The following is a 10511-nucleotide window of genomic DNA, read 5'->3' as shown; positions in this document are numbered from 1 at the left end:
CAATTAACATATGCTGAATATATGAATGAATGAATGAAGAAACTGTGAGGTGGGGGGTGCTTTTCTTCTAACTCCTCGCACCTGCAGCTTGCCTCAGGTACGATTCAGGGCCATAACTTCCACTCCAGAGCTCCCCTGCAGGATCAGACTGAAGCTCCTCTCTGTGGATTTTGTCTGAAATTCCGCTCTCCTTGGCTTCCTCTTCTTCCTTGCTCTGTGTCTGTCTTTTCCTTACTGGCTTCCCCTGGAGCACTCTGTCTCAGGGTCTGCTTTGGGATACCCTGACTTAAGGCTTGTCTCAGCCAGGGGGCTTCCCCACACCTGTAATCCCAGCACTTTGGGAGGCCAAGGTGGGAGGATCATGAGGTCAGAAGTTCAAGACCAGCCTGACCAACATGGTGAAACCTCGTCTCTACTAAAAATACAAAAATTAGCCAGGCGTGATGGCACACGCCTGTAATCCCAGCTCCTCAGAAGGCTGAGGTAGGAGAATCGCTTGAACCCAGGAGGCAGATGTTGTAGTGAGCCAAGATGGTGCCACTGCAGCCTGGGCGACAGCGAGACTCCATCTCAAAAAAAAAAAAAAAAAAAAAAAAAAAGACTGTCTCAAGGAGCTTAGTTGGGAAGGGCATCCTAACGCTATAGCAGAGCAGGGAGAGAGTAGCACAGAAGCCAGCCCTGGGAAGGAGGAAGACTTTGGTGCGTGGGTGGAATGTGTGGGGCTGAAATTACTGAAGTCCGAGTAGAAAAAAGTAAGCCCTATCCTCCGGCAGCTGTTCATCACCCCATGGGTGAGCCGTACCCAGTGACCTTAAGGGCAGTCACATTACCCAGGCTCAGCCAATCATGTTCTCTTTCCTGAGAATTGGGACCTGGAGGTAAAGGGCAGCTAATTAGTCTCCTCACGTGTCTGGAACTATAACGTGGGCAAATAAACATCAGACAGGGCTACAGAGGTGGTCAGCCAGGGGCCAGAGCACTGGAGCAGGGGGTTCTCAGCAGAAAGTGGGTGGAGGCTCAGGCAGCAGGTAGGGGCCTAAATATGTGGTCAGGGGCATGTGGGCAGGATCCTGGGCCTGAGTGGGAGGGATGGGCAGCAGACAGGGAGGCCGGGGGGACAGCCCTGGGATAGGACTGGGAGAAATGCCTGGCTTGTTCAAAAGCCCAGTGACTTGGGTGGGGACACAGAGGCGCTTGGGCAGACCCACAGCCATGAGACCATGCAAAGGTCCTGGTGCCCAACCTCTGGATTCTTACAGGACCCATCCTGGGGCAGAGCCAGGAGCAGAGCTGAGCCTGGGAGTGAGGGCAGAGCAGCCTCAGGTGTGGGGATGGGGCTCTGGAGCCAGGGCAGGAGGGGAGACTGAGGACCGCCGCACGCCATCCAGGAGAGACAACCTGGCTCTCCAGGGTCCTCAGCCCAACAGCCTCGAATTATCCTGCCATTAGTGGTGATCCATCCCTTCTGAGCACTGTGCCATTTCATCACACCATCTCAGCATCCAACATTAGGAGATAAGTGCGCTCACAACATATGTCATTACTCATTAAGGGACTTTTTCTGGATTATGGCTGGGGCTTAATGACTTGTTAAAGATGTTTAACACTTACAATTTTGTTTTTAATTTAGGAAGCAGCATGATCAAACTGCACCCTGAGACTCTCTCCTCGATTTGGTGAAATCTGGAGATGGGCCGGCTCAGAGGCTGTCTGTGCAGGGGAGGTGATCCTTAAATTGAATTGCAGCCCTCCGAGGGGTGTTTGCCCCGTCAGCGGCTGCCAGGATCTGACATGTTAATGGGGCTGAGGAAACAATGGGTTTCAGAGGTAATTGCTGAAGCAATGACTTCCAGGCAACATTTGACTTAAAAAAGGAGGGTTGCTGCTGCTATTGCTGCTGCTGCTGCCGCCGGGAAGGGGTTGGGGGGGGCTCTGCTCCAGGCCTGTCTGCAGAATCCCAGCCAGGATTGCCTACCTGCAGAGCTCAGGTGGGTCTGCGCTCCACAGCAGCCCCAGGTGCTGACAGACCACTTCCTTTCCTTCCTGCCCTTTGTTTTGCCCATTGTCTACGCTGGGAGTTGTTTCTCAGGGGGACTGCCAGGCAGAGGGGTTGGAATAGCAAGTTCCTGATTACAAATTTCATAAGAAGATGGACTTGAGTCAGAAGGGGCTGTTCACACTTGCCCCCACTGGGCAGGAGCCAACTCTGTGGGTTGGGGTAAGGCACACTTTCGTGAGGATTCCGTGAGTTACTGCAATCAACTCTTTGAGGTGGGAAATATGATGTCCATTTTACAAATAAGGAAATTGAGGCCCTGAGAACTGAACTGCTGGAACCAGAACCCAAATTTAGGCAACTGATTGCCACTTTCTCTTGCCGCCACGTTAGATCCATTGTTAGGCAGTCACTGCTTACTGGTTATGCGGCTCGGGACAAGTCACTTTCTCTCCATGTTGGGACAAACATTACACCACAAGCTGGTTCTCCTCACTGTCGGACTGCATTTCGGCTTCTTGGAGAGTCTCCAACCTGCCAGGAATGCTGCACTCTGATACAGAAGGAGAATCTGAGATCTCTCAAGTGTGTTTGCTCAAAAAGGAAAAATTGGGGAAATCACATAAGAAACTTTAGTAAGCTGGGTGCAGTGGCTCACGCCTGTAATCCCAGCCCTTTGGGCGGCTGAGGTGGGTGGATCACGAGGTCAGGAAATCGAGACCATCCTGGCTAACACAGTGAAATCCCGTCTATACTAAAAATACAAAAAAATTAGCAGGGCATGGTGGTGGGCGCCTGTAGTCCCAGCTACTCGGGAGGCTGAGGCTGGCGAATGGCGTGAACCTGGGAGGCAGAGCTTGCAGAGAGCCGAGATGGTGCCACTGCACTCCAGCCTGGGTGAGACTCTGTTTCAGAAAAAAAAAAAAAAGAAAGAAAGAAAAAAGAAACTTAATAAATGTGCGCTGCCTGCAATAGGAAATAGGTCAGAGGCATGTTCTGGGCATGAGTGAGTTTAATATCAGCCTTGGACGAGGAGGTGAGAAAGAAGAATGGACCCTGAGCCTGGCTTCCTGGAAAGGACATACCAGATGCAAGTGAAGAGAAGCAGACAGGGTTGAGATGGAGGTCCTGAGTGGAAACAGAGGCTTACTGGAGGAGCTGGAGGAAAGGTTACTAAATCATCCATGCATACATTCATCCACTCAACAAATATTCACCCAAGTACCGTGCACGTGGCTCTGTACTGGGCAATGGTAAAAAGACAGATGCCCTTGAACTTCTGCAGCTCACAGCCACCATCAACCAGTGCTTGGTGAGTGTTAACCTCCACCTTGGTCTTCTTCCGGCCCTCGATCCTGAGCCTGCTGGACTCCTCAGCTCTTGTTGCCATGGCCATGAGTCTCACTGGTCACACATGCCCTCTCCACCCAGCAAAGGAGAAAGTCACTCTCCATCATATGATTCCCAGGACTTTTAAGGGACTTGTTCTGGATTATGGCTGGGGCTTCATGACTTTTTAAAGATGTTTAACATTTATAGTTTTGAGCTGCACTCTGTACCCTGGCTGCAACTTCCCAGAGCTCAGGACCAGGCCTCAGGAGAAGGGAGCCTGGACGTTCAGGGCCCTCCACTACAGAGGAGTGGCTGGGAGTGTGCAAGTTTGGGAACCAGCTCCAGAAGCCTCTGAGCCCTTCTGTGGATTGGGCTTGGAAGGAGGCCCCAGTAGGCAGGCAAGCCTTTACTCACTGAGGATCAGGGTCTAATAAGATGGCCTAGCTCCGTCACTGTGGAAGCTGCCAGCCCAGCCTGTGCTTGATGAAGCCTTTGGAATTCTCAGGAGACTACTGCTAAAGGAGACTTTCTATGTCAAGAAGCCCAGACAGTGTTCTCATGTGGCCCGAAAGTCCTGAGCACCTACCATGGGTGTACAGCAGCCCCAAGGTAGGAAAATCCCAGCAGGGGCGGTGCAGGGGGGTGGTGGGGGGTGGACCCCAGCTCACCTCTCTCTGGCTCAGGGACAGAAAAGGCCCTGGAGCCACGGCTAGTGTCCTTCAAATCCTACACCAATGCCTGCAAAGAGGAGGGCTCCCTCCACCTCAATGGCTTCATTTGAGTCACAGAGAAGCCACCACAGGGAACCCAAACAGACCAGAGCTTCCTGAGGCAAAGGCAGGGCTGTCCCCATCAGCATGCCACCTCTTCAGGTTCACCTCCCACCTGACCCCGCCCCCAGCAGCACACAGAACCACAGGCACCAGCCTAGCCCCCAGGCCAGAGTGCCTGCTTTGCTTTTTTCCTAGAAAGCTTCCCACACGCCTCCAACCACTTATCCCTCCAGCCCCAGCTAGGATGCCACCTCCTCCGTGAAGCCTTCCAGATGCCCTTTCCTCTGGGTTCTCATAGTACTTTGCCCAAACATCTATTATAGGATATAGTTGTCAGTTCACACACGTCCCTTCTACAAGACTAATACTCTTTGACAGCAGAGATCTCATGTTGCTCATGTTTTGTCACAAGCATTCAAATATATTTCAAAGTATACATCAAGAGCATTCAAATATATTTGAAGGAGAGAGAGGGAGGGAGGGAGGGAGGAAGAAAGAGAGAGAAGGAGGGAGGGAGGAAGAGAAAGAAGGAGGGAGGGAAGGAGAGAGGCAGAGAGGGGGAAGAAGGAAGGGAGGAAGGGAGGGAGGGAGCGAGAGAGGGAGGGAGAGAGGAAGAGAGAGAAGGAGGGAGGGAGGAAGGGAGAGAAGGAGAGAGGGATGCAGAGAGGGAAGGAGAGAGGCAGAGAAGGGGAAGAAGGGATGGAGGGAGGAAGGGAAGGAGGCGGGGAGGCAGATGGAGGAAAGAGGAAGAGAGAAGTAGGGAGGGAGGGAGAGAGGCGGAGAGAGGCAGAGAGAGGGAAGGAGGGAGGGAGACAGGGAAGGGAAGAGAGAGGAGGGAGGAAAGAGGGAGGGAGGAAGACAGGAGGAGGGAGGGAAGGAGAGACGGAGGGAAGAAGGAACTAAGGAAGGAAGGAAGGAAGGATGGATGGAAGGAAGGAAGGAAGGAAAGAAAGGAGGGAGGGAGGAGAGAACAGAAGGGAAGGGAAGGGAAACACAAGCAGTGAATTGTAGCCATCTCCTGCTGTGGAGGTCTGCATGCCATCAGCTCAGGATATAGTCATAACTCGACTAAATTATTTTTTCATGGAGAGGGAGGGAAGAGCCAGGCACATTTGTCACTGTTCATGGTTTCTATTCTAGTTCATGGGTGACTCCCATTCAGCCACTCACAGTTTTGCAGTTTTTCTTTGTTTTTACTTTCCATCTTGATGGAAAAAGAGTAACTTTTATACCCTCATAGAGCAAATAGAACTATGACTTCTGTTTTGGTGCTTTTTTGCATATGTTGCAATTTAGAGGGGAAAGGTTTATTGAAACTTGCTGTGTTACAACAATAAAGTACCCTCAAAGAAGAACAACACTGTCAGTATGCACGCCTTCATTAGGAAAACATCACATCAGCGGTGCACTTGCAAGCTTTTGGATAAGAGTAACTGTGTATGTTTATATATATATATATATACACACACACATACATATACATATACACACACGCATATATAAAATTGCCCTTTCCTAATTCTTCCTTACTAACTGTTAAAATCATCTGTTTCACTGTTTATAAAGCAAATTTCTTGTTTTAGTCTATGGCTTTCCCTATCATCACAGTTTTTTCTCTCCAGGAATCATCAGGGCAGGCACGGACCTGAGCTTCCTCACTCCCCAGTCTAAAGCTATGTTTATGGCTAAAGGGACCCAGAAAACAAATACTCCCTGGAGAGGCTTCCCACTGGGCCTATGATGGGCAAGGGTGAGGTTCCAGAGGAGGGATGTGGAGGCCCCACATACTCTCTTTCCTCCCGACACCATCCCCTTTCCCATAGGGAGCCAAAGGTGCTACAACATCAGCAGCATCTGAAATGAGGCCAGGATCTCTAAAAGCCACTGCAGAAAGGGAGTAGACAGCATCGAAACCTACATGTGCTGGCACTAGAGTGGGATAACAAGATTCATTATTTAATCCTCAAAATAACCCACTTTTACAGATGAAGAAACCAAGGTCATAGAGGTTAAGAAATAAGAACCATTCAGCAAATATGTGACGATATCCACTGTGTACAGGTACTGCGGCAGGCCTTGGGGATATCAAAGAAGGAAACAGACAGGCCTCTATTCCTATGGCGCAGGCATCCTAGCTGGAGGTGAGGGACCATAAAACAATAATCAATACAAAAAACAAACAAGTTGGAGGTGATTCATACAGAGTGTGTACACACACAAGGTAAGGAGACCAGGAAGGGAATGCCTGTCGTGGGGTGGGGGAGGGGCATTTGAAGTCCAAGGATCAGGGTGGACCTCACTGGAAAGGTGACGTGGTGGAGGTAAGCATGCAGGCCCCATGGATACCCGGGGAAGAGCATTCTAGGCAATGGAGCAAGGAGTGCCAAGGCCCTGGGACCGGGGTGGTGAACAAGGGGGAGAGTCCCTAGAGAGGTGTTGGGGAGATCAAGGGGGGATACCAATCCCGGGGTGGGTGGAGTGACCATGGAAGCCTCCACAGCCATTGCAGACTTGGGCTGTTACTCTGAGTGAAGCAGAGGAGCCACCGCAAGGTTTTCAGCACAGGAGAGTCACGATGTGAGTCGTCTTTTACAGGCTCTCTCTGGCTGTTGGTTGAAATACACTGTCGGGGGCAAGGGTGGAAGAAACACCATCAGTTAAGAATGCTGTTGCAATAACTAGGTGAGAGACGACAGTGGCTTGGACCAAGATGCACCTCGTGATATGTAGGGGGAGGGTGTTCCAGGCAGCAGACATGGTGAGAAGTGGTCAGATCCTGAAGATATCAGGAAGGAGGAGCCACCAAGGCTTCCTGATTGATTGGATGTGGCAGATGAGAGAAAGAGAGGGGTCAGGAGGTCCCCAAATCTTCTTGGCCTGGGCAACTGGAAGGACATGTTCATTTCAGGCGGCTGTTAGATATCTAAGTGGAGACGTTGAGGGGCAGTGAGATCTGTAAGTCTGGGGTTAGGGGAGACTACCAGGACGGAGATATACATTTGCAAGTCATGAGCCCAAGGTGGTATGTAAAGCCACAAGACTGGATGCAATTACGGAGCAGTGAGGGTAATTAGAGACTCAAGGAGGAGCTGGGACTGTGGCCACCCCGTGGGTAAGAGGCTGAAGAGAAGATGAATCAGTAAAGAAGACCCAGAAGGCATAGCCAGGGAGGTGGGATAAAAGCCAGAAAACTACAGCATCCAGGAAGCCAAGTGGAAGAAAACGTTTCTAGAAGGCAGAGGAAGTGGCTCACTATGTGCAGTGCTGTGGGTAAGACCTAGCAAGATAGGAGCTGGCCGTTGGATTTAGCCATGACCCCTGGGTACCCAGCCGGTAAATGGCAGCTGGGATTCAAATCCAGGTCTCCCCCACAATCAAGCTGCAGGTTTTGCCTATTTCACAGCCTTCAGAAGGGAACCATGCAAAGGACCCTCCATTTTAGATACACCCACTCATGCCTGGAGAGGAGTCTCCCACATCTTAACCAGAACCCCAGAAGGCAATTGAACATAAAGAGCAGGCTTTGGAATCAAGTGTGCTCCATCCACGTCCTGGCCCTACTACTCACTGGGGCGGGGCCTCACGCAGGTCTCTAAGTGAAGAGACTTCCTTTCTCTGGGCCCTAGTCTCCTCACTGGGAAATAGGAGTGGGAGGGACAGTAGTGCAGAATACTTCATGCAGTGTCCAGGCACATGGTCAACATTTTTTTTTAAAGTAGCCATTACAATGATGAGAGAACCAGAGCAAGAACAATGGAGGAGGCACAGGCATCCCCCATCATCACTAGGCCTGGGTGAACCCCTCCCTTCTCTCCCTCCCGCTTGCTTCCTTAGTCAGCCACAAGTCACTCTTGAGAGCTTGTTGGCCATGAGATGTTTCCTGAGGGCCTGTTCTGAACAAGGCATCTACTGCTGAGGCCAGTGGGCAGCAGCACGCCAGACCCAGAGGCACACCAGGGCCGTAGGCAGCGCTGTGGGAATTTCTGTTCAGAACCATGCCCAGGCTGTTGCTTCAGGAAGGGTGACAGTGAGTGGCACTCGTGTGCATTTCTGGAGGGGATGAAGGCAAAGAGGGGGCTTGGGCTCCTGCCCTGCAGAGGCATGACACACTGAGGTCTCCCCCTAAGATTACCTGGGGCTGTGGGTTAATGGTCTGTTTCTGGGGAATGACAGCGAGTGGTATTTCCAGCCTCTGGAAATGGTGCTATGGACAGGGGTGAATGAAGACATATGTGTGAGTGTGTGTTCATGTGTGTGTGTCTTTACATATACATGGGTGCAGGCATACAGGTGAGTGGCCGCATATATATATGGCTGTGTACACTCATGGGGGTGAGCACATATGTGTGCTATGCTGCACTATGCCAGGCTACTCCTTGCCCAGTGTGGAGTCTAACAGAAGTGGTGGGCAAAGGCCCACATCTGAGGGTGCCCTCCCAGGGAGGGCACACTGGAGCATCGGGGTGAGGTGGAGAACATGCCCCAGGGATCCCGCTGGCTGAGCTGTCTCCCCACATCACACTCAAGCATGTGCTGCCACCTCCCCTGGCCTGGGCAGGACTGTCCCACTAGGACAGCCATAAATTGGTGGGAGATTCCCACCTTGGTTTATATGGCCAAGTCCCTAGAAGCCTTTCCTGGGAAAGGTCTCTTAGACCTGGTGATGGCTTCTCAGTCTTCACACTGAGAACTCAGGGTTGGAGGAGTGGGAAGTACTGGGCCACACTCCCATGTCAACTAAGGCCCCTGAGCAAGGACTCCATCCATCCTGATAAGGCTGGGGCTCTCTGCGCTTCCCTATGCAATCGACCAAAGTCATAGCTGCCCACCTTCTGCCCTTGGAAATGAATCATTTAAGATTCCCCTTTCATCTGGAACCTCTCAAACAGCCTCATGAGCTGTGAGCCTGTCTCCCTAGGTAGAATTTAAGGCAGCTGCAAAATGCCTCGATATTTTCAGAGGCCTTATTGTGCTTAAACTCGTTAGAGAGGCCATGGAGTTAATTAGTATATAGATTTTCCCATAGAAAGCTAATTTTCAGAATGATTTGCAGCCACTGGATCTGTAACAGACTGCAATCCATTTTCTTCTCAACTTTCTGTTTTTCAAAAGAAAAGTACAAATTGTGGTGACCAGATGACTTCTTCCATGCCTCAGTCCCAGCTCACCCACCCCCTTAGCAGTCTGGAGCCCCTCCAAGGCTGGCTGCTTCTCCATCATCCTGCCCAACTCACTGGCTCTCTACCATTCATCTGCCTTTCCATAAGCACCAATGCAGGCTGCCTGAGGCTGGCTTGAGCAAGGGGAGCAGAGTGAGTGAGCTGAGGGTGCATCTTTCAGTGGTGCAGGGTGCAGGGGTTAAGTGCATGAAACTGGGTCAAATATGGACAAACCCAAGCTCTCCCTTTCTGGCAAGTTACTTCACCTCTCTATGCTTCATTTCACTCACCAGTAAGATCAGGAGAGCAATCATGACCTCATAAGAAGTGTTATAAGAATCATTATTAACATTGATTTTTTTAAAAGGTAACATGGGCTGGGCACGATGGCTCACGCCTGTAATCCCAGCACTTTGGGAGCCTGAGGCAGGAGGATCGCTTGAGCCCAGGCATTGGAGGCCAGCCTGGGCAACATGGTGAAACCCTGTCTCTACAAAAAATTAGCTGGTGTGGTGGTGTGCACCTATAGTCCCAGCTTCCTGGGAGGCTAAGGTGGGAGGATCGCCTGAGCCTGGGGAAGCCAAGGCTGCAGTGAGCTGTAATCATGCCACTGCGCTCCAGCCTGGGCAACAGAGCAAGATTCTGTCTAAAAAAAAAAAAAAAAAGGCAACATGTATTGCTGCTCCCAGTGTTCTAACTTAACTTCCATTCCACTGAAATTCCATTCAGCAAACATTTCCTGAGCACGCAAGAGCCAGGCCCTGCACTGGGCAAGCTCCCACTATGCGCCAAGCCCCATGAGTGCTTCCTTCGTGCCATGCCCTAGGCTGGGTGTCACCCCATATACCAGCACCTATGCTACGTAGACACCAACTGTCTACATTGCCAGATCCCCGAATCGCAGGGCTTCTGCCTATTTCATGGGAGGAAACTGAAGCTCATAGAAGTTAGATAACTTGCCCAACATCACACAGCTAGTGGGGGACACAATAGGGCTTTGAATCCAGGTCTGCCTAATTCTAGAGCTCTAAAGAGATGAAGTAACTTATGGGAAGGGGTAGTTACTATTATTGTTATTATGAATACAGCTACTACTCTTACATTTTCCCCAGAATTCTAAGCCTTCCCTTACATTTCATGGGATTCTACCCTCCTGTGCTCCTAATGGTGGAAAAGTAAGAAAATCAGACTTTCAGCCCTGGAAAGTCCCCTAGAGATCATGGAATCCATCTCTCCCCCTTGGACAGGTGG

The 10511-nt window shown here is 50.9% G+C and overlaps 4 annotated features.

Moving 5' to 3' along the window:
- Positions 1221-1398: a silencer, noted in NCBI's record as "fragment chr1:38736899-38737076 (GRCh37/hg19 assembly coordinates)". NCBI's record gives its function as "represses an EF-1alpha promoter that drives an FKBP-Casp9 reporter gene in an ReSE screen in phorbol 12-myristate 13-acetate-treated (for megakaryocytic differentiation) K562 erythroleukemia cells {active_cell/tissue: K562(+PMA)}" and the evidence as "EXISTENCE:reporter gene assay evidence [ECO:0000049][PMID:32094911]".
- Positions 1649-2246: an enhancer, noted in NCBI's record as "NANOG-H3K27ac-H3K4me1 hESC enhancer chr1:38736051-38736648 (GRCh37/hg19 assembly coordinates)". NCBI's record gives its function as "activates a minimal SCP1, AML or CMV promoter by ChIP-STARR-seq in naive H9 embryonic stem cells {active_cell/tissue: H9 hESC(naive)}" and the evidence as "EXISTENCE:reporter gene assay evidence [ECO:0000049][PMID:30033119]".
- Positions 5781-10112: an enhancer, noted in NCBI's record as "VISTA enhancer hs2088". NCBI's record gives its function as "enhancer in: ear[3/7]" and the evidence as "EXISTENCE:transgenic organism evidence [ECO:0001131][PMID:17130149]".
- Positions 6134-6428: an enhancer, noted in NCBI's record as "tiled region #2971; HepG2 Activating DNase matched - State 8:EnhW". NCBI's record gives its function as "activates a minimal TATA promoter and a strong SV40 promoter by Sharpr-MPRA in HepG2 cells {active_cell/tissue: HepG2}" and the evidence as "EXISTENCE:reporter gene assay evidence [ECO:0000049][PMID:27701403]".

This window comes from Homo sapiens, chromosome 1 (genome assembly GCF_000001405.40).
Source record: "Homo sapiens chromosome 1, GRCh38.p14 Primary Assembly".
NCBI lineage: Eukaryota > Metazoa > Chordata > Mammalia > Primates > Hominidae > Homo > Homo sapiens.
The sequence above is the reverse complement of the archived record's forward strand: the minus strand, read 5'-3'. Positions and strand labels throughout refer to the sequence as shown.